This window comes from Homo sapiens, chromosome 6, assembly GCF_000001405.40.
Source record: "Homo sapiens chromosome 6, GRCh38.p14 Primary Assembly".
NCBI lineage: Eukaryota > Metazoa > Chordata > Mammalia > Primates > Hominidae > Homo > Homo sapiens.
Window position 1 is genome coordinate 162,362,914 of NC_000006.12, and position 24,596 is coordinate 162,387,509.

General features: G+C 38.8%; 1 protein-coding gene and 1 long non-coding RNA gene across 7 annotated transcripts in view; both read right to left on the reverse strand.

The window, feature by feature from the left end:
* The window catches only part of PRKN (parkin RBR E3 ubiquitin protein ligase), a 1,380,350-nt gene that overhangs the window by 1,015,497 nt on the left and 340,257 nt on the right, over nucleotides 1–24,596 (reverse strand). The gene's annotated exons all lie outside the window — the stretch shown is intronic.
* Nucleotides 237–24,596, reverse strand: part of LOC105369171 (uncharacterized) — a 59,560-nt gene continuing 35,200 nt past the window's right edge. Inside the window, exons 2-3 of the long non-coding RNA XR_943200.3 lie at nucleotides 7,229–7,386; nucleotides 237–5,753 (exon numbers count right to left, since the gene is read on the reverse strand). This is a non-coding gene — a long non-coding RNA (uncharacterized LOC105369171). The remainder of the gene's footprint in view (nucleotides 5,754–7,228; nucleotides 7,387–24,596) is intronic.

Below are 24,596 nucleotides of genomic sequence, written 5' to 3' on the forward strand. Positions count from 1 at the left end.
GTCAGGAGATCGAGACCATCCTGACTAACACGGTGAAATCCTGTCTCTAATAAAAATACAAAAAATTAGCCAGGCGTCGTGGTGGGCGCCTGTAGTCACAGCTACTCGGGAGGCTGAGGCAGGAGAATGGCATGAACCCAGGAGGCAAAGCTTGCAGTGAGCCAAGATCACACCACTGCACTCCAGCCTGGGTGACAGAGCGAGACTCCTTCTCAAACAAAAAAAAAAAAAAAAAAAAAAAAAATTGTCTCCCCTGACTTGAGTTATGGGAAAGAGGGTTAGCTTCACTTGGCCCTCCATGCCCCTGCCCAGGCACGTGTCTGTATTAGTGTTCTGCAGAGGCAATTCAAAGTACATTGTCCAAAGCCCCTCTTTGAAAATCTTTTGATGCTGCTGTAATTCAATTTGGTTTCTATGTTGAATCTGAAGTTCTGTGTTACTACTAACCCCCTTTCTGTAGGAAAAAAATGTATTTTTCTATACAAACCCATATGCCATCGAGGTACCTGTATTTAATATACCTCCATTTAGTAGCTAATAAATATGTCTATTTGAAAACTATTTATTCTTCCATACTTAATCATAGTGAACTATAAATCCAAACTTGACAGCACAAGAAAAGTGACATTTTTCTTCTTTCATTTCTATGCTACTTTTTCCAAATTATTTCTTGTTCTTTTTAAAAATGAAGCAAAGACATCATCATTGTTACTATTATGCCTTCAGTTAACAAAAACCTTTTAAAAAGATTATTTGAAATGCATATGTAATATGCATGACTACGTTAACAGGATTATATGCTATTAGATATTGTGATATAAAATTACAACTCACTGGGAGATACAGTCCTCTTTGGGCCTCTCTCCCTTCTATACATCTTGCTGGACTTGCCAAGATCAAAAGGTCCTGCCCGCTTTTAACAGACTATTACTCAGGGTTGCTTATGCAACTGGTAACCTAAAGAGATAAGGCAAGGTCTTCCCCTAGACAAAAGGCTTGCATGCGGCTTGCTATAACAGTAGTCCCAGCTCAGTATTCACCGGCTGTGATGCAAATCCACCCATGAGTAAGTTCCCTCTGAGCCAATTGCTTCATTCCCTGCACACAAGCTGCTGCACTGCTGAGCACTGTGTAATAAAGCCCTTTGCCTTTGGCCCCAAGACTCACGTCTTCCACCAGCAGCCTGATACAGTAGCAGGCTCACTGATTTGTAAGAGGGGTAAAATCAAACCCCAGACTTGATAATACCATCTACACAGACATTCACTGGTATGATTCAAGAATATAAATAACTGGTATTCAATGTATCCAAAAACAATCATGATGAATATTTCACCAATGCATTGCTCTTTAAAATAATACCCAAATAATTATCTGTACTGTTTCCATACCTTGACCTTTCAACTGGACTTTTCCTTAATTTGAGCTTTTTTGAGTTGTCATCAGTGTCGTGGAGACTTGCGCCTTCCAATTACACAGTGGTGTTCAAACAGAAGAAATTCCAAACTTTTCTTCCTTTTGACTATAACTACCCTGGGAGTAAAATGTCCCCCAAATAAAAACATAAAATAAATAAAATAAAAGAAAGAAAGAAAGTATCTACTTGGCAAGTGGGAGGTCAGAAGAAAAGGGGCTTCAAACATCAAAGAAGGTTCTCAAAATACTCTTTCAAATGAAGAAAGCCCCACGCTCGGTGCCTTATCTTGCAAGCTCACATGGCCAGACAGCAACCTTTAAAGGATTATCTTAACATGCGGCGAGCTGGGCCCTCTCATGTGTTCTGAAATTTAAACCAGAAAATGGCTGCACAACTGACATGGTTGTGGGGTGTGAAGGGGAATCAGGAAGAGGGAGGAGAGGCTTACATTTCCAGAATGAGCCAGAGTTCAGATAAAGATATTTGTGTAAAAAACAAAGCAACCAGGAATATGATCCTGGGCTGTCAATTTGTAGAATACAATCTAATACTTATACGCCATAGGTAGTCACAGAAGTTATAAGAAACTACAAGCCCTAAGGCATTTTTTAGAATAGAAATCTCTCTTCTCCCTCTCTCTCTCTCTCTCTTTTTTTTTTTTTTTTGCCAATATGTAGTGTGGGATTTTCTTTGGCTAAAAACTGTTCCAATTTCCCTGTTTTCTAAATATACTTTACTAAGCATTTTTTTTTACAATCAGGAGTATTGTAACCTTTGTATATTTTATCAATAATAAAATAAATCCATAATTTAAAAAAATCACACAAAAGTGTATAAAGTAAAAAGTCAAAGTCCCACATCCCCACCTCTGAATTTCACCTTTATCTGTGTGTATATGTATATTTTGATATTGTATTTTGTAAGTGTATTGTTCTGTAATGTGCTTTTTCATTTAATAGCATGATTCACATTCTTCCATGTCAGTAAATACAGAGCTTTCTATTTTTTTCATGTCTAGACAGTACTTTACAAGATGATTATATTCAGTAATGTATTTAACCATTCCCCTACTGATGAATGTTGAAATATTTTCCCCTAATTTTTTACTGTTTCAAAATCAAAAATATGTACATCAACTTCAAGCTTTTTACTATAGCCCGTGGACTCTTACGTGATTTACTACCTGTCTTTGTCTTCCTCTGGAACTTCTTATACCAAATCTTTGTGCCCCTGGCCTTTCTTCCATGCCTGGGCTAAGCCAACCTTGTCTCTGCATCTCTGTGGAATGTCCTGTCCCAAGGTATTGGCGTGGTGGTTCCTGCTGTCTCATCACTCGCTCCAAGGTTACTTCCTTGGTGAGGTCTTTCTAGAGCTCCTGTTCTACACAATCTAATTTATCCTTAGTCAATATCTTTTATACCTTCTCGGTTTATTTTCTGTACAGCACCCATCACCCTCTGGAATAATCTTGTTCATGTATTTCTTACTGTTTACTGTTTTCATGTAAGATTTTTCTCTGGTATGCTCTAATGTGTCCTTTATTAGAACAATGTCTGCCACATCATAGGCTCTCAATAAACGTCCACTGAGAAGATGCATAATGGAAGTATACTTCAACTTGGATTGTAGCACATTTACACAAATATTTCCATTAGAGAGATGCCTCGAAGTAAAATTACTGCCCAAAGATTTGTACACACAAAATATTGATGGGTACTTGCCATGGGTACTGCAAAAAAGCTTTAATGGCAATTTATATTGTCACCAATATTATGGCAACGGCCCTTTTCCCACAAATGCAGTTTTATAATGCCAATTTGACAGGTTATAATAATTTTTTTGTAAATTAAAAATCACCTTGTTCTAAAGAATCTTTTTACATTTATCACATTTGTGTTTTATCTCCAAATTAATCATTGTTGAAAATCTTTTTTATTCTTTTATCTTTTGGGATTACAGAATGTCATTCTAGTTTTCTTCCATTATTATACAAGATTGAAAGGATTTTGGTTGGCTTTCTTAGATCTTATATCCAAATGGGATTTATTATTATATGTGGCATAATAAGAACTATTATTCTTTTAAAATGTATTAATTGTCTTTTGCTTATTAAAAAATAGTCATGGTGGACATTTCTTTAAATTTTCAAAAATAAACACAGAAAAGAAAATAAAAATCACCCCAATAGAAACTTGCCTGATTTCTTTCCACTGCATTCCCTGTAAAGGTGTGTTAATAGAAATGTTTCTTTGATCATACCTATAAAGTGGTGTTTATAAAAATGTTTATTCCCGGCCAGGCACGATGGGTCATGCCTGTAATCCCAGCACTTTGGGAGGCCGAGGTGGGTGGATCACCTGAGGTCGGGAGTTCGAGACCAGCCTGACCAACATGGAGAAACCCCGCCTCTATAAAAAATACAAAATTAGCTGGGTGTGGTGGTACATAATCCCAGCTACTTGGGAGGCTGAGACAGGAGAATAGCTTGAACCCGGGAGGTGGAGGTTGCGGTGACTAGAGATTGCACCATTCCATGCCAGCCTGGGCAACAAGAGTGAAACTCCATCTCAAAATAAAATAAATTTTAAAAAATTAAAATGTTTATTCCCTTATACAACATTCCCTCATACTCTTTTGTATACAGTTTGATATGGTTTGGCTGTGTCCCTACCCAAATCTCATCTCGAATTGTAGTTCCCATAATCCCCATGTGTTACGGGAGGGACCCGGTGGGAGGTAGTTGAATCCTGAGGCCAGTTACCCCCATGCCTGCTGTTCTCATGATGTGAATGAGTTCTCAGGGGAGCTGATGGTTTTATCAGGGACTTTTTCCCCTTTTGCTCGGCAGTTCTCCTTGCTGCCATCATGTGATGAAGGACATGTTTGCTTCCCCTTCCACCATGATTGTAAGTTCACTGAGGCCTCTCCAGCCATGCAGAACTGTGAGTCAATTAAACCTCTTTCCTTTATTAATTACACAGTTTTGGGCAGTCCTTTAGAGCAGTGTGAGGACAGGCTAATACACTGTTTTTTCGCTTATGCTATGAACATTTTCTTTTGAAAATGTGATTTTTAATAATGGTACAGTATCTTAATGTGTATGTGTATTGTAATTTGTATGAGTGTATTTTAATGGTTCCTATTGTTCTACAAGTAATTCCTTTTTCTGTTATTAAAAATTAACCCACCAATGAAAACCCATGCTCATAAAATCTCCAGGACCATCTCTGATTTCATTCACAGGATAGATTCCTAAATGTGGACTCAATAAGAAAAGGAGTATAAATTATTTCACAGCTCTTTTCAGGCCTTTTACAGGCAGGTTGTGTGTACTATTTAAAGTACTATTAATCCCACCACATACAAGATGTATTAGGTACTTCTTAAGAGTGCACTGAATATAAGAAATCTGTTACAAAATGTTAGCAGAGCAGAAAGAGAAAAAAAGAAAGAAAAAAGGGATAGAATGAGATTAGATCACCTGGTAAACTGTAGGAAACAGCTACTGCCCCCAGGACTCAGGAAACTCAAGAAAGTACTTTATCAGAACTTCTGAGTGCTGAGTGCATGCCAGGACCCCTGAGGATGGGCCGACTGAGTGGGTAGAAACCACCAAGGCACTGCCTCCCAGTCACGGAGGAGTGGCATGGAGAAGGGATCACAGACACTTCCAGAAGCAGGAGAGAGGGAAGGGTAGAAAAGAGAAAATGACAGCGCCTTTCCCCTGACCTGCCTTTGGATCCACTGAGCAGATGTCACAGGAACTCGCTGGCAAGGGCATCTGGGAAATACAGTTTCCTCCCGAGCCAAGCATTGCGGAGCAGCACAAAGGGCGTGGCTGGGGAAGGGTTGGGAGAACAGGGAATCACTCTCACACCCAAGAGTGCATGGAGCATATCTGGGTGTCTACACAGGTAAGAGAGTGAGGGGTCAAAACCGGGCTTCTTATGACTCTAAAATGTATTTTTAGAGCAGTTACCAGGAGAGCTGACATTGTTGAATCTACCTGAGAAGCCAGAAGCCAGACTCTTTGTATTACTACAGAATGTGATTCCATGCTGTTGCCAAATGCCAGGAATTTCTACATCGACTGCCATCAGGACATGGAAGTCTCATTGTTTCTTAAAACGCAACTATTCTTGAAGACATGGAAGGTCATCCTTCTTACATCCTTACATCCTTCTTTCTGTGGCCCTCCTAGGCTTGTCACGAGTCAGCACGAATCCCAAAGGTACCAGCAGCACAGAAGCTCACACTCTGTCATCAGAGCTGGGTTGGCAGTGACAGAAATGCTTATGCAAACACAGGCTGACTTCTCACTGAATGTATAGAACATCTAGGAAAGAAAGGCAAAGGATTTAGGCCAAAGCAATACCTCAATGCAGACAACTAACTAGTGGCAGCTAGCTAGTCACCTGCTCTCAACTCTTCAACGTCCTTCAAATATTTTCTCTAATTGATATAGCATAATTTGTGATGCCAACAACCAAGTGTTTTTTCACAATTACAGAGAGCCAAACCTGTGTCTCTGCTGCTCCCTTAGGCTACTTATAATATTGGCCTAGTTCTCTTAGCTGTCAGCACAATTACCTTGTGATTAAAAAGATAACATCAATAGGAATTTCTTTTTTATCAGCTAAGCCATGGTTACATGTTGCATGGACACTAGCACTCATTACCCCATCCATATTTTGGTGAGATTTTTGCCCATTTCCTTCGTTTTCACAGAAAATGAAATAAAGCATAAGCTTGTTGGTTGCAAAGGTGACATATAGTAAGTCAAATAAACCCATAATGAAGTTCCCTTATACTTCAGGTTAGCTTCAAAATCCCACTCAAATATGTATCCAAAAAGAAATAAAACAGGAAACTTTCTGGAATAAGTTCTTTTGTTGCTATTTTTATATTGAATTGGCAAATGTCATTTCACTGTCTGAGGTCAAGGGAACACAAGGGAACAGGCAGTTCTCGAAACAGAAAAGTTGGAGGTGCTGTGCCGTCTCTAGCTAAGAAAACTCTAGTTCTATGAAATATCATTCCACCTGAGAAAATTTTCACATGATTAAAAGATAACAGTGCCATAAATCTACCCTTGAACATCAGGTGTGACTCTTACTATACTACCCAATGTCTTTTAAAAAATATTTAGATCATTAGCCAATTTGTGTGGGTGATACAATTGTACACATTCCACAAAAATATCAGCCATTTGTCTAGTTCAGCATCTGGTAATGTCAATTAAGGGTTTTATTTACTCACAAAGAGAAAAAAGTAAAGATATTAGTTTCAAATTAAGTCCAACAGTCTATTGAGTACGTAGTTTAAATGTATTTCAGCTCTTCATCCTCCCCAGGGCAGAGATCACTGGCAGAAATTAGCATCCACGGATAGGAACCAACAACAGGGTAGCTGATGATGTTTAGGTGAACTCCCCTCTTTATAATAACAGAAATAACCCCTTTTCCCCTACAAAGCCCGTCTACATTTTGCATAGCACTAAGGATGGCAGACCTAGGAGCTGAGTTAGCCAACCCTGAAGGTATCCTGCCTCAAGACTTGTGGCTATTTGGAAAAATAAGCATCCTCGTCATGGGGTCAGTGGAATCGGGGCAGTTTGCTGGAGTGAAAGCCCCCAATTAGGTCACCCTGTACTTGTCATCAAGAATGAGTACACATGGCCTCTCTATCATCAAGTGGCCACCTACGCTTTTTGAGTGGTAATTCTTGAAATATGGTTTTCTCTATGAAGAAAGCTTTTCTCTCCATAGAAAAAGCTTAACAGCAAATTTCACTGTAGTCGAAATGTTTCACCTTTCTTTCCTTTTTGATGTGATCGTCAGCTCTTGACTGCATCTCGTTTTCTCATGCCTGCTTTCTTTCTGCTGTCAGTCACAATCCTTTGTGACAAGGTGGGATCACCTGGCAGATGATTTGGATGTTGCCTCTCATGGAGATATATCTCATTGACCCTTTCGAATTCAGAGATTTTTTTTTAATATAGAAAAAAAGGCATAGCATTTTAACATCACTAACTAAGGCAAAAGATAAGGACACTGGACTGAAAAACCAAGGATGTTGTATAAATATTCGTCCTTGTGTCACTATTTTATTGGCTTGAGGTATCCAGGAAACAACTTCATTTCCCCAAATTACATTTTATTACCAAACAAAAGATGAAAAAAGTACTACTTATCCCATTAAACTAGCATAATGGTTACTTTAATTGGAGGGGTGGGAGAGAAAGAAAGGTGAATCTACTTAGATTTCTTGGAGAAATGAACTTACAAAAATGGAAGCTGGTGGCAAAGCCAAAGTGAAATTCACGTTTACTTATTCCATGCAATATTTCTCTGTCCAACCTATGTAAAGCACTACAAATGAATACAGTCATAGCAACTAATTGAGTTATCAGCATCTCCAGAGTAGATGTTACTAGTATGTCCTGGCATATGAATGGTAGTATTATGTGGGATATTAGTAGTTCACTAAGAGTCCTATAGGACTTCTTGTGTCTGGAAAAAGAGTTTAGTGAGTGATACTGAAAAACCAACAGCTTGGCTCACGGGCATCATTGAACAAATGGTACTGAGCATGGAACGCAGCTACTCAGAACTTATGAGCCAAATGGGTGTTTTCCGTACATGGCTTCTTGTCCAGAATGCTACTGCTATTAGCCCAATGGCCATCACTGGTTATCAAACATCCTGACCCAAGTCAAAGCCAGACGAAGACAGAAGGCCATCGTGGGAAGGTGAAGCGATTCATGCTTAGGGCAAGATAATTATTTGGTATCCTTTCAATCCATTTGTTCAACATTTGCTCCCAGGAGAGGCGGGATGCTTCCTGGGGACAGATTAGAGAAGAAGGGACACTGCTAAGTGCTCATGTATTATTTCAAGCAGTTCACTCTGGGCCCCGACCCAAATCCTCAGGCAACAAAGCAGCACCCTGCAGGTAATAGGAACTGTCTTCTTTAGAAAGCAGTGTGGTGACCAGGTGTTGCTAATCATCAGAGTCTCTTGGTGACTCACAGCCGCCCTCATGCAGCTTTGCGAGTTCTGACTGCCAACACACACAGGACTCTTCCTAAGTATTATTTCAGCTGAATTCTGGGATGTGAACATCAGACTTTCAAACCCGGCTTTCTCACTTTCTACTGGGGTGACCCTAAATACAAGTTATTTCATTTCTCTGGACTCAGTTTCCTCATTTATAAACATGAGAATAACATTATCTACTCCACTGGTTGCTGTGAGGACCAAATAAAATAACACAATTAAGGTGTTATCTGGTATATAATAACCATTCGATAAAACTTAGCGATTATTATTTATGGCATCCATTCCACAATGGTACTCAATGGTACTGTGTACACTGCCTAAGAATCCTAACCTTTATTTTTGCTCCACTCATCACTTCTATTTCCAGTTCTGTGATGCCAACAAATTGGGTAATTGTACAGCAGCATGTTATTATGTTTCTTCACCTCCCCTTCTTACTATGGGTCCCTTCTCCGCCTTCCTCAAACATGGCAGCCCTGTGGGATGTTGAGGCTCTTGAGGCTCCTCAGTTTGAAATGAATGAGCTTGCTGAAGTGGAAACATTAGAAGGGCATGATTGGCAGATTATTTTGCTCCAGCACCTTCTTGACAGAAGTGCACAAAGCTCTTCAAGAAGATGGAGCTGCTGCCAGATGCCCTCTGTCCAGCCTCCTGGAAGCCCAGGAGAAAGCTGGAGTGGACGCCATCCTTCTGGCCTCCTCCTGAAGGACATACTGGTTTCCTTAATTTCTTTTCTACTTTTTGTCCTTCAGTCTGTTGTCCCTGCACAGCTATAGAGAAAACAAGGATTACAGATTCCATGTCGTTTTGCAGCCAGGGAACATCTTTGGCTAGAGATTTGACGGAAGTCAGTGCCAAGTGGCTGTGTCCCTGTAAGCAGTCCATTATTTCTAATGGTCTATTTGCATGCAAACCTCCAGGCCAGAGGCAGAAGTAAACATCCCAGAAACTTGTCCCTGGAGACTCTGGGACACTCTCATTTACACGCTGTGCTCCATTCACGGCGCTGAGTTTACTCACACGTGCTACACATGCGATCCTCACGACAGCCCTGTAAGATGGTATTAGCATCTCCATTTTATCAGAAGAAAAATAACTTCCGAGAGGGTTAAGCAATGGGTAAACACGGACATAAATATGGCAACAAGAGACACTGGGGACTACTAGAGAGGGGAGTGAGGGAGGAGGGAGGGTTGAAAAACTAACTATTCGGTGCTATGCTCACTACTTGCGTTGCAGAATGATTTGAACCCCAAAGCTCAGCATCACGCAATATACCCATCCAGCAAACCTACACAGGTACCACCTGAATGTAAAATAAAAGTTGAAATTATAAAAAATTGTAAATTACAAATAAATGAATAAATAAAATTTTTTAAAATACAGTTAAGAAGGGGACTTTGCAGTCTGGTGTACCTGACACTAAAGCCCGTGTATCTTTACCATATCATGTTTAAAAAATCATTTTCAAGAGAGGCAAGAAATTTCAGTGGAGAAAAAGACTGAGTATGTAGAATGGAAGATTCTCTAGATGTGTTGATTTTGTTTATCACGGTGTCAACTACCGGAGGAGTAGGCAATTTTATGTGGATGTAGACCATGCACCTTTATCAGGAGTACTTTTTCAGGTCAATTCCCTTCCCTAGCACTAAAAATAATTAATAGATCTCTTTGAGAGACTAAGACAGTGAGGAGAAAGTACATTTACCTACCACAACTAATGAGACCTGAATAACTGGAACAGAATATTTGGAAAAAAATAATGGTTTAAATGGTTAACGATGTGTAACTAGTAATATAATAGCTACTTCAACGGAGCTTTCATGTAAAACAGAATTTCATTGCAAGTTTAAGTTTTCTTTTGAGAAAAATTTGGCTATGTAAAGGTGAGTTTGGCAATTTTAAGTTTACAACTTATTGGTCAATAAGTAGTAGTAAGCCTCTTTTGTGTTTGTTGAGTTAATAAACTATGGTTCTTGGACAATTTCTTTGTTGGATGTTAATCTATAACTCTTATTTGACCTGTTATTTGACATTTCTAACCTCTTCCTTAAACATTAACCAGAACCCTGAGTACTTTCTTTTCCAACACGGGTAAGGGATTGATTTTTTTTCTTAATTTCATAACTTATGAAGCTAAAATGTGCAATATTTTGACTGAGTGAATTAGGAATTCTTGTTGGGATTTGGGAAAAAGAAAGTTATGAGAAACTGATGACTGCCTATGTAATACTTCCTTTATAGGAAATTCTTAATACCCTTATATAGGAAATTTTAATACCCTTCTTACATATCTTTTGTTCCTGGTGACATAGAAGAACAAGTTTAACAACATCTTAAGAAAGAAAATTATTAAATATTTACAGTCACAAACCTTTGTTCAAAAAAGCACTTAAAAATTATATTTAATAGAGTTTAATTGAGTAAAGTGAATCACATAGCCCTCAAACTAGAATAGGTTTAGAGAGACTAGTGTTTTTGTGTGGTCAAAGAAGACTTATGGAAAAAAAAGGAAAATGATGTACAGAAAATGGAAGTCAGGTACACAAACAGTTGTATTGGTTACACCTTGGTGTCTATTTGAACTGCTTTGAAGAATTTGTCACCTTTCAGAGGCCAAAACTTGGTGATCTTCGTGATTGGAACAAGAGGAGGTTATAGCCTGATTACACAGTTTACTCTGTACAGGGAAAACTTTAGGCCAGACTTAAAATACGCAAGGAGGCAGCTTAGGCTAAATTTGCTTTAACAATTCTCTCTTTATGGTCAACCTCCAAAAATCATGAGGGGTTAACCAAAACTCTAGGCACTGATGACATTTTGTCACTATTATAAACATATTCACACAGTTTTAAATTTTATTGGGAAGTAGTTGGATAGTGGGTTTTGTAAAGTGAAAAGAAGGACTTTAGGTTACTTTTCTGTAAGGATTAGAGTAGAAGGAACCTCTGTGTGTTGAAATTTTTTGATTTTAGGAGATAAAACCTGGTCTGCTATAGTTTTTTTTTTTTTTTAAGTTTTAGTTTGTTTATGTGATATTTAGTATGAGTGACTTTAGTTTGGTTTGGTCTGGTCGGTTGGAGCCTAGTACATGAGTTTAGTCAAAAGCAATAGCCTCTTATAATTTTATGTTTTATTTATTTATTTGTTTGTTTGTTTATTTATTTATTTATTCATTTATTGGATAGGTGAGAGGGTGACCCAAACTTTACTGTTGGCTTCGTGGTACTTTTAGCTATTATTATTTTCAGTTTTCGGTCTCAGTGTGTCTTATATGTTACAGTGACTTGTTGATCACTTTTTGGAGTTTTTGTTGTTTGGGTTGAAGAGGGACCAGTTGACAGTTTATAGATGTCTGTATGTAAACATTTGAGAAAATATAGTATTTTGGGGAGGCTACTATTATGACTATTAGGAAGATAATATTAAGAGTTTGAAATATGGTTTCTGGTCAGAGTCTCTATGAATCAATTAAAATTGAAGAGTTTTAAACGTGAGTTAGATAAATAGTATTTGTTTTAGCCAAGTAGTCTGTTAATCTCTCACAATTGAATCTTTATAATTTTTATGTATAACAAAAAGTGTTCATAACAAAACAGATTCTTTTTGTGTAGTCAATGGATAATCTAGTGTGATTTTATTATTAGGAACAATTTTAGTAACAGAATTTAGTCTTTTGTGTAACAATAGTCTTTGTAGTAGAATTTCTTATGGAGTCTATTATGAGGGATGCATTTATAATGACTGTCCCATTTATTTTAAACTATGGAAAAAGAGACCTAATAAGTCATGTATCCTGAGAAGAGTGAAGGACAAAATCTTTAGGCCAAACGTTATAAATAGAATGAAACAGCTTTAGACTAAACTTCATGTAACACCTTCAAGTGTGAGCCACAGTGATGAGTAACCAGGGTCTCAAGCTGGTATTTTTTCAAGCAAAAAATACTTCAAAAAAGCCACTGGAGTAGGGGTGGGGAGCGGGTAAGAAGATCCATATCTGCTTATCAACTCCTGTTTTTTTTTTTTTCCATTTCTTTTTGTATTTGGTGTCTACAAAAGAGCCTTAACATGGTTTAATAAACATGTGTCATAGACTGCATGGAGTTGCTTATGTTGTTTCAGGATACTTAAAGGAAATGCTCACTGGAACGTTCTAGATTTTGGATTTGGAATGTTCACCCAGTTAAGTATACTGTAAATATTCAAAACTCCAGAAAAATAGTCTGAAATACAGAACACTTATGGTCCTATGAATTTTGGATAGGGATACTAGACATGTACTTACAAAATGGTTTTGAAAATTCCTTAGTACAAGAAAGACTCTGCCAATCTGATACAAATATGGCTTTGTACACACACACACACACACACACAAACACACACCCCACTCTCTCTCTCTAGATATATATACATATATATACATATTAACATATAACACATATACACAAGTAAATATACTTTTCACTGAATTTTGGGTGGACATGGACCCACGGTTCTTGTCTGGGACATCAGCTACTAGGTCTGAGTCCCCTGTCTGTGCCCTGTGCATCTGGGAATGTGTACACACTCTTCAAAACTCCAGTTAATCACCATCCTCCCTGGGAAGCTTCCATGCTAGAGGATTGAGGAATCCAACTCTTGAGAAACAAGAACATCCTCTTCAGCTCTTCATTCTAATACTTAGCAGATATCATAGTGTTTTCTTAGTTGGGAGACTAGATTCTGTCTCCCTCATTTGCCCCAACTTCATGCCCACTGGAGCTCCAGACACCCACTGGAGGAGGCAGTGACAACAGGATTTGCCTCCAAAGAACACAGACCGCACCCTTGTGTGAATAAGGGAATTTTGTTACTCCTGATTACTTTACCCATCCTAGAATACGCTGAATTTAGCCATAAAAGAAGTTGAAAAAGATACTCAGAAGAAGAAAAAAGAACACTAGAGTGGCAAATTGTATTATATTACCAGTTTTACACATATCCACATGGATCCTTATGTTTGTGGGGTCCACAGCCTGACCACTGTAATCCCTCACATTCATGTTTCCCCGCCGTGTAGAAAAGCTATACAGGGTATTCCTGCTGTACACGCAGCCACTGTGCAAAGATGACCCTACTCTCCTTGGCACTGAGGAGCCGAAGTCATCCCCTGAGAGAGAGGCAGCCTACAAATGAATACCTGGGGCCAGGGGCCTCCAGAGAGGGGAGTTACTACACCAGGCAATGCTTCTCTCCCAGACAGCTTGAATATTAAATGTGTAAACATACTAGACAGCAAAGTAGTGCCGAAACCAAGAAATGGACACACGGAGAGAGAGGGGGAAAGGGAAGGGGAGAGGGAGGGAGTGGGAGAGGGAGACGGAGAGTGAGAGGGAAAGGGAGGGGGAGGGGGAGGGGAGGAGGAGAGAGAGAGGCAGAAGGAGAAGAACAGGGAGAGGGAGAGGGAGGGAGGGGGGAGGGGGAGGGGAAAGGGGGAGGAAGAGGGGGAGAGGGAGAGGGAAAGAGAGAGGTAGGAAGAGACCACGAGGAGAGAGGAGGAGGAAGACAAAGTAAAGGCAGGAGGAGAAGCCCAGTCTGGGAGGTAGAGACAGCAACAACTTGAGTCATGCGCTGGACACAGTGCCCACTTAGCAGGAACCGCTGCAGCTACAGATGGGTCCCAAATCATGAACGAGGACGTTCTGGTTGCACTTCCATCCTAAGAGGATGGTGGAGGGTGATGCTTTTTGTTTCTTACTCATTTCCCTGTGCATCCATACAGTTAGCCAATACCCTCTAAAGTAATAAAAGTGTATTTCTGCTCCGAGTAACTTGGTTGAACTAATATTCAAATCCAAATCTGCAGACTGGTAGGCTGACTAGGCTATGTGAATGTGTAAGGAACACAGAATGTGCATACAAATTCCATACAGACAGAGAGGACTGGGCTGGCATTAAGGAAGACCAGTCACTTCAGAGGACTGGCCAAGAGGCCAGTGACACCACGCTCGGTGACACCACAGCTCTTCTCATGGTTTCAACCCCAGAGGCAGATATTCTTGGCTGCCTTCTTGAGTGCCCTGACGGGGGCCACTCCTTTTGTCTCTTTCTTTGATTTCTCTGGGTGCAGACTAAAATTCTCCTTGAATCTAGTTCAAACTGTCCAAAAGAGGGGATCTATTCAGTTCGATTCATCACACTGGATGGAGTTCTTAGACCAACACACGCCACAGGCCCATGGCCAGCCTACAGATCGGCTCCCTGATGTCATGCCATGGCCATGGAAAGACTGAACCATCACAGAAGGGGCTGCCAGCACTGGGACAGGCATGTAAGTCATATGAGACCATCTACCTTGGTCAACCAGGCAGTGCTAATCGGGAGAGTAAGAGGACAGCACGGAGATTAGCAACCCAAAGCAATACCCCAGCAGGTATTAGAGTTGACCATTGGAGCTTGGCATGTTTTGGTTATTAATACTCCAAACTATTCATGCTTAAGGCAATGTGGAATTTCAAGTGAAAGCCAGATGGTTCTTGGGCAAGAGGAGGAAAGAAAAACAAAGCATCATGTGCTTGGGAGAACGCCTAGTAAAACAAGAGGATCCCAGTCTCTCCCAGCAGAGTGTGGGCATCGTTCACTCCCTTTGGTACAATCCATTCCCTTTCTCGTCGGGATTCACACAGCATGGTCAAAGGCAATACTTTAACATCACGAAATCAAGCTAGGTTTACAAATGTAAGGTAAGAGATAAAGAAAGACCATCTATCTGGAGTTCTTTTCTCCCCTTTCTTTCTATGTGTAGAATAAAAGGACAGAGAAGAGACAGAAATTTAAAGGGAAACAAGGCAAGTGCTGAAATAAACCTGCCATCTATTTTAAGTGAAACAATTTATTTGGGTTTCAAGAATACTTTTTTCTGTCTCTCGTTCTTCCTAAATCCCAGATTATCAGTCTAATCGAAGATCATAAAGGAGATGACAAAACAATTATCAGAGAGAAAACTGGATTCCACTTAGCAGCGGCTACCAAAAGTACAGTTTAATGTGTTTTCAATGAGGTGGGCCCCTGGGGGCCTGAACACCCACAGGCCAACGGATGTTTCTATGTAAGAAGAGCAACGTCATCAGCAAAAGCAATTTCCCACTTTTATTAATCCAGTTTATTTTAAGGCATGATTATTCAAGCTTTCGTCTGCTATAGTTAGTCTTGTATTTTCAGGATAATAAGACTGGTGAGGCTAGTTATCAAGTGCCTATGCACAGAATTCAAATGGCCTTTGTTCTACCTGGCAGTCTCAAGAACTGTTAAATGAGCTTAAACTTTATTACAAGAAGAAACAGAACATGCTGAGTGAAAGGTCTGCTTAGTTGCTTACCATAAAACCACAACTACTTAGGAAACTTATGCTCTGCATATTCTAAACCTGAAGGAGCCTCTAATGGGGCATTTGGGGTCAGTTTTAAGATGATTCCTCAAAAATGCCCCCAAATAAGACCTGGAAGGGGATTCCACACTTGGCTGTCTCTGCAGAGCCACAGGCAACAACACAGAGGTGCCATGATTTATTTAATGGAAGCTTGGTAGTGACTCAATATCAAGAACTCACCTTGAGAAGCCACATTTCAAGTATCTGAAAACAACTGGCAGGCCTTTATTCAAATACTTTAAATAGATCAAAGCTGTTTATTCTCTAAACTCCTCTCCCCTTCTTACACATTTTAACCAAGTCAATGTTTTCCTTCTATTTCTCTCAGAGGTCTAAACATCTCTAAACTATATTTGGCCTAAAGTTTTGCTTGACCACATGATTTTAAGAACTGTTGAATTTGAGTGCCATTGCCAGGGAAGCTGGGAAGATGGCTGGATACCAGCATTTACAAAGGTCTCATCACTCCATGAGTGATAAATTCCCATTTCTCACATGGTTCCTATGGGCTGGGAGTAGGAGTCCTCAATTCATTGTCCTTCTGAAAGGCCCAGATCTATGAATTGGGAGATTACTTGTATTCAGCAGTTACATTTTCTACTTTTTGTGGGCTTTGAGGAGATTAGAAGGGGTAAGAGAAAGATATTTGACATACTTCTTTCTCTACCCCTCAAGACTAAATAAATACTAACTCAACTATCTTACTACTTCAAGTTTCTAAATAAATCTCCCATTCAGGGTCAGGCTAATCCCCTTAACTCTCCTCTCCAGTATCATTCTGATCCCATCCGACACCTCCCAAACTGAGCCTCAATGCCTTTCCCGCATGGACCCGCCTCTGGCTGGTGAAGCCAAAGGTCCTGAGAGCATGCATGTGGACAGAGCTAGGCAGGTTTCCTTGGCGTCTCCTGGGGACGTCACATATTATCCTCCATTATGATTGTCACAGTACATGGTATGAGCAGACAATAGATTTTAAGGCACTTTAAAAAAATGCTTGTGTAAATGAAATGGAGCATTTGGATTCAATTTAGTAGCCTTATACAATATCTGCTTTTTATTTCAGAGAAGACTTCTGAGGTAGCTGATGAACATGCCGGCAGAGAGGTTGAATTCCGAGGTGAACCAGTCATTCCAATCCAAGGGAGACAGCGTTTGGAAGCTTTAATGTAAACAGAAACCCTGCGGGACTCACTTGTGCATACAGCTGTCAAAACAATTCAATATCCAGAGATAAACAGGGTATAAGACACCCACTAGTATATTATACTGGAATGCAACATCTTTTTAAAATTATGTTGCCATATTCTGTACTTTATCGAGTACCTTCCATTTTAATATTTCATCTAATAGACTGTAATTTGGCACTTTGGGTAGTAAATAGTGAATTAAATGCTGATGTGGCTTATTAGGGCAAGTAAATTTGAAATCAAGTATAGTGATAGCATTATAATGTGACATGTCATCAGTTTACAGAAGAGATTTCTCAAAGGAACACAGAGTTCTGAATACATGGGTGTTGGTATCATCATAGAGAACAGCAAGTATTCATTATTCATTTAGGAAAGGAAATGTGTACCTGGATAATAGTTTAAAGCTATATATATATATATACACACATATATATATGTGTGTATATATATATATGTATATATACACACATATATATGTGTGTATATATATGTATATATACACACATATATATGTGTGTATATATATATATATGTATATATACATATATATATGTATCATTAACATCAAGGCTGCATGAACCAATTTGCTTTGCACAAAGACACAGGAGAGGTGGTATCAAGTAGTGGAAGGAGTTGTGGCTTTGGAGTTAAAGATACTCATTCAGATTCTATCATTTGCTAGATATAAGCCTTGAGAAATATACTTCTGTGGGCTTCAATGCTCTCTACTGTTTAAAAAAAAACCTTGAAAAATTCCACCTTGCAGCATTGTTTTCAAATTGTCAATTTCAACTGGCGCTCAGTGAATGGGAGGTGTTGGAAATGAAGACATTCAGCACATAAATAAGGAAGTAAGGTGTTTAAGAGTCTGTATCACTGGACCTATGGGCAGTCTTTCTGGGCCACTGTCAAGCCTCCCTTTTTGAGAAGCTACAACAGCCACATGGGAGAGTCCAGCGACCAGAGTGGCCGCCGTGGTCCAGATAAGGAAAACCGCCATGGATTCAGCCAGACTTAGAGCAGGATCCGCAGGCGAACCGTTCTTCCTCTTCCAGCTATTTCTGGATAAGCCCACTGTGTCCCTTCCTCTGCAGAGCACACCTGCATCTTTGATTCCCCACCTTGAAGTCCTTGTCCTTTCCTAGCCTGAGTCATTCCACTCAGCTCAAAAGACAGTGTCTGGGCATCGTCTCCATTGGAAGACAGTTCCTGATGTTTCCTAAAGTTCTCTTTACTCCCCCGTCACATCCTCATAGCATGCAGCAATAAATAGAAATTACCCTGTTTTTCAATTATATTTCTATAACTATTGTTGCCCTCCTCCCTTTCAGTAATGTAAAAAATTTTCACAGTATCTTCTGTATCCTAATTTTCCCCACTCAATTCGATTTTTGAGATGAACTGGCAGCTGCCTATTACCTTTTACTTTTTCCTCTCTAAGTGATACTTTTAGTAAGCAATTTACAGCTACCTCCAAGGTGAATTTGTGTGTAACTTAATTACATTCACTTATACCCTCATTATAATTACAGTAGCTTAAAATCCCCATCTGTGGAACAAAAGATGTTTCCATTTATCATGTTTCTATTGTGTATAAGCTGTCCTTAATATTAAACACCACAATACTCTCAAAAGATGAGACTATCTCTGGTAAATGCTATACCTGTCCCCCCCACTATCTCTTTATAAATGCCTCAGTTAAAAATGATATGTTTTTACCATTACGCACTTTTTTCTGATTTTTTTTTATTAGTCCAAAGAAATAAAGTGCTAACAAATAGCTGGGTGGATGAAGTGAGTGAGGCCATTAATATTCTATACTGATAGTTAATATACATTCTCTTTTCCACATTACGTCCTTAGACTTCAGGCATAACTCCAAGTAAAAATTCAACAGAATAAGGAAAACTGCATTCATTAGTAGAATTGTTTTTCTTTTTCCCTTATAACACAGCACAATTGCAGATCAGGAGACACACAAGCAGACCTCCCAGACTCGTGGGTCACACTTAGGGGGTTATTGGTCAAAAATTTCTGGATATCTGCTTTCTGAGAAAGTAGCAAGATTTTGCTGGCATTTACTTTTTGATAATTAAAACTAGATTTTTATTTTATCCTATAATCGGTAGTATTCTCCCCCACTCAGAGTCATAAATAAGGTTAAATAGTACAAGACGTATTTAGTCACCTAATGATGCTGATGATCCATCTCAGCCAAAACAAATCCTTAAAACCAGGCAAATAATATTAATCTCACAAAAGAAGCAACTGTTAACTAGAAATGGAAATCCAATTAAATACATTTCCTGAATAATTAAATAATAATGAAAACTTGAGGAACATGTACAGGCATACCTCAGAGATACTAAGGGTTCAGTTTCTGACCACTGTGTAAAGTGAATATAGCAATACAGGGAGGCATACAAGTTTTGTGGTTTCCTAGTGAATAGAAATGTTACATTTATACAATGCTGTAGTCTATTAAGCGTATAATAGCATTATGTATATAAAAACAGCATACAAACTTTAATTTAAAAATACGTTATTGCTAAAAAATGCTAACAATTACCCGAGCCTTCAACAACTGTAATCTTTTTGCTCATGGAAGGTCTTGCTTTGATATTGATGACTGCTGACTGACTAGGATGGTGGTTGCTAGAAGTTGGGATGACTGTGGCAATTTCTTATAAAAAGACAACAGTGAAGTTTGCTGCACTGATTGGCTCTTTCTTTCATGAAAGATTTCTCCATAGCATATGATGCTGATAGCATTTTACCCAGAGTAGAATGTATTTTCAAATTTGGAGTTAATCCTCTCAAACCCTCTCAAAGCCACTGCTTTATCAGCTAAGTTATGCAGTATCTAAATCCTTGGATGTCATTTCAACAACGTTCACAGCATCTTCACCAGGAGCACATTCCATCTCAATAAACTGCTTTCTTTGTTCATCCGTAAGAAGCAACTCCTCACCTGTTCATGTTTTATTATGAGATTGCAGCAATTTGGTCACATCTTCAGGCTCCAATTTAATTCTAGATCTCTTGCTATTTTCACCACATCTGCGATGACTTCCTGTGCTGAAGTCTTGAAGACCTCAAAGTCATCCATGAGGACTGGAATCCACTTCTTCCAAACTCATGTTAATGTTAATATTTTGACCTCTTCCCATGAATCACAAATTTTCTTAATGACATCTAGAATGGTGAATTATTTCCAATTAACTTTTCCCAGTTCCATTAGAGGCATCCCTACCTATGGCAGTTATAGCCTAATGAAATGTATTTCTTGAATAATAAGACTTGAAAATTAGAATTACTCCTTGATTCATGGGCTACAGAATGACCGTTATGTTAGCAAGCATGAAAACAACATTCACCTCCTTGAACATCTCCATCAGAGCTCTTGGGTAACCAGCTGCATCATGAATGAGTGGTAATGTTCTGAAGAGTCATTTTTTTCTGAGCATTAGGGCACAGTAAGGCTCAACAGTGGACTTAAAATATTCACTCGAGTATGCCCTAAACACAGGTACCATCATCCAGGCTGTGTTGTTGCATTTACAAAGCAAGGTCAGAGTAGATTCAGCATAATCCTTAAGGGCCCTAGGACTATCAGAATGGTAAATGAGCATTAGCTTCAACTTAAAGTCACCAGGTACATTTGCCCTTCACAAAAGGGCAGGCTGTTCTTGGAAGCTTTGAAGCCATGCATTGATTTTTTCTCTTTAGCTATGAAAGTCCTGGATAGCATCTTCCAATAGAAGGCTGTTTCATCTACACTGAAGATCTGTTGTTTACTGTTGTCACCTTCATCGATGATCATAACCAGAACTTCTGGGTGACTTGCTGCAGCTTCTACATCAGCACTTGCTGCTTCACCTTACATGTCTATGCAGTGGAGATGGCTTCTCTCCTTCAACTTCATCAACCAACCTCTACTACCTTCAAATGTTTCTTGTGCATCTTCCTCACCTCTCTCAGCCTTCATGATATTAAAAAGAGTTAGACCCTTGTCTGAATCAGGTCTTGGCTCAATGGAATGTTGTAACTGGCTTGAACTTCTATTCAGACCACTAAAATGTTCTCCACATCAGCAATGAGACTGTCTCACATTCATATTATTTATGTGTTCACTGGAGTAGCACTTCCCTCAAGAATTTTTCCTTTGCATTCACAAATTGGCTATTTGGCACAAGAGGCCTAGTTTTCAACCTGTCTCAGTTTTGGACATGGCTTCCTCATTGAGCTAAATTATTCCTAGCTTTTGATTTAAAGTGAGAGATTTGCAACTCCTCCTTTCACTTGAATGCTCAGAGGCCACTGTAGGATTATTAGCTGGCCTGATTTCAATATTATTTTGTCTCCGAGAATAGGGAAGCCCAAGGAGAGGAAGAGAGGTGGGGGAACTGCTGGTCAGTGGAGCAGTCAGAAGACACACATTAAGTTTGCCACCTTGTAAGGGAGCAGTTCATCGCACTCCAAAACAATAAGATCAAAGATCACCGCTCACAGATCACCAAAGCAGATAAAGTGATAAACTTTAAAATATTGCAAGAATTACCAAATGATAGAGATAGAGTGAGCACATGTTGTTGGAAAGATGGTGCTGCTAATAGACTTGCTTGATACAGGGTTGCCACAAAGCTTCAATTTGTAAAAAAAAAAAAAAACAAAAAAAAAAAACACTCATTATCTGCAAAGCATGCTAAAGGGAAGCATGGTAAAATGAGCTGTGCCTGTGATACCAGCAAATATTTATTACACGCTGCATTTCTTTAAATTGTCTTATATGGCGGGTATTACTTTTTCCTATTTCACAGGTCAGAAAGCTGCAATGCAGAGAGGAGAAATGATTTGTTTAAGGAAGTAGAGTAAGTAGGCATCAGAGGCAGCATTACATTAGCTTCGAAGTCTTTATTTTCACTAAAATACCCTGCCTTCCCCTCCCTTTTGTTGCTCTGTGTCCCACTTTAGTATGAAGGGGCCTATGTTTATATCACAGTAAAGTCATGACTTAAGTAGTTTTAGACATAGTATTTCCCCCCTCATGAAATTTAACTCCTGCAGCCTATTCTATTTCTTTAACAAAGACATACAGAATCATATTAATTATCTTTTTAAAAAACCTGAAAATACCATCAAGATACTTATGGAACTCACATGAAAGTGAAATAGGGAGTATGTCCCCATTCCCTCAAGGAATTGAGTAATAAACTAAGTTTTAACCACCAATGGTAGCAGGTTTGCATGCCACTTCACCCAGATAACATAAACACACCAGTTATCTGCAACCCCTGTACGCCCAACATGGTATAAAGCAAAAAGAGAACCATTTAACAGCTTTTATATTAGCTAGTCATTCCAGTAATAAAACAGGAAGACAATCATACATAAATGTCACCACACAAAAACTTTCTCTATTACTTATTAATAACCAACCTGATAATATCATTAACGGCTTGTAGAGCTAATTGCGGTGGCTTTTTACTGCTCCCTTTGATATGTGCACTATCCTGAGGAGGATAACATCTGTTAGATCTAACTCATCCCAAACATCAAATGTGACACCGTGGTGTTTAAATAACTTGACTGCGCGCTATTTCAGCAGGTCCTTTCCCGCTCTCCTTTCTCATCTTCACAAGGCTGACCACAGGCAGAGGCCTTCCTGTGCTCATTACTGAGTTTCATGCAGACACGATGGAGTGGGAGGGAAAGTTTATTACCTTCATTCTGCTTGAATCCATCCCTGACTTTTTGGTCCTTCACAGATTTCTTTGGGAAAATAAAAATGATATATTGTTTTCTGAACAAAAGGAAATTAATTTCAATCTTTTAAAAACCAACTTGAATGTTATTCAGTTCGGTTTTTTCCCTAAAAAAAAAAGTTTCAGATTCCAAAGTTTTTCAAAAAGTAACTTCAAATTTCATCTATGTCAAAATAAGTAAAATAGGTCCTCTTGTCCTATTGAGAATGACAAGCTCAGTATAATCTTGGAAAAATCAATTTCTATAAATGACTAACCCGCCAATTGTATTTTGATTTTTTTTAAAAAAAGAGGTGCCTATGCAGATGCAGGATACATATAAATATAGAGTCAACCATCTCCTAGTGACTCAATCATTAAATATTTAGCTGACTTAAATTACACTGCATGCATGGGGACTACAGTTAATGACGATGTATTGTGGAAAATGCTGAGAGACTGGATGGTGTGTTCTCCCAGCAAAATGCTAACTAAGTGAGGTAATACATTTGATAATTTGCTAAATTTAACCGTGCCACAGTGTCTGTCTACTTCAAAACAGCACGTGGTATATAATAAAAACATATAATTTTATGTCAAGTTTAAAAGTATATTTATACTAAAAATTAAACTCATTTTTAACCCTATAGTTTATGTGAAACTATATGTTATGTAACTGAAATATTTTCACCTAATGTGAAATCTTGTCTCTGCTCCTGCCACAAAACAGAAACATGAGAAAGTCCACTCGTACTTGTCAGAGGTGGGTTCTCTTCATCTTGCTGATTCCTCTGGTGGGTCTGGTAAGGCTGAGCTTGGTGTTCCCTGGACTCCCAGAATGGTTTGGGTCCAGCACTGGGCTGGCCCTCAGGAGGCTGCCCTGCACATCCCCGTGCCTGTGCTGGGTTCCGCCCCAGCCTGTCTGTGAAATATGCGTGTACGTACGTGTGCACATATGTGCGTGTATGCATGTGTGTGCGCAGGTATAAGGGACAGAGACAGACAGATGAACACAGATGGAGAAAGAAAAATTGGTAGGTTGTATTGAGATTCCAATCAAAATCTAAAATATGATTTTATAGTTTCAAACTCAATCTAAACCTTTTTTGCAGGGTAATGTTTTATGACTAAGCAGACGCAGAAGTCACTCTCAAATAAATATAGACTACGTCAATAAGGTAACATTGCATTCAATTATCTCCCCAAGGCAGAATCCCTGTCTTTTCTAAATGATGTAAATACCTTGTTCTCTGTGTCCACAATTTAAAATGGAAGTTAATTAAAAAGTCGACTTGAGCAGGGACCCCAAATATAGATTCATTTATTTATTTATTTTTAAGTTACACAAAAGTATTACTATACTAGGGTGCACACTACAAAATATGCTAATAGAATTTTTGAAGCAATGATGTGAATAAAATGAATGAAACATTTTAGAAGGTTCATAAAGGCAACAAGAATTGAAAATCCAGTAATTACACACTAAGAAAAAATAAGCAAAAAAAAAAAAAAAAAAAAATTTCTCCAACCAAATGTTTACTGGAAGGCTGTGATAATTTTTATACTAAAGGTTATTATTCTCAACAAAAGCTTATTTTTTTCCTTAGTAATAGTTCTTAAGCTCAATTTACAAGCACAAATTCTCTAATCTTATTGTGAGAAGGCTGTTACGAATAATTTTTGTTGTTCATACAGAGAAATTGAGAAACAACGATAATAATTGCTCAAATTATTGAAGTTAAGAAGAAAATAAAAATTAATGGTCTAGTGTTT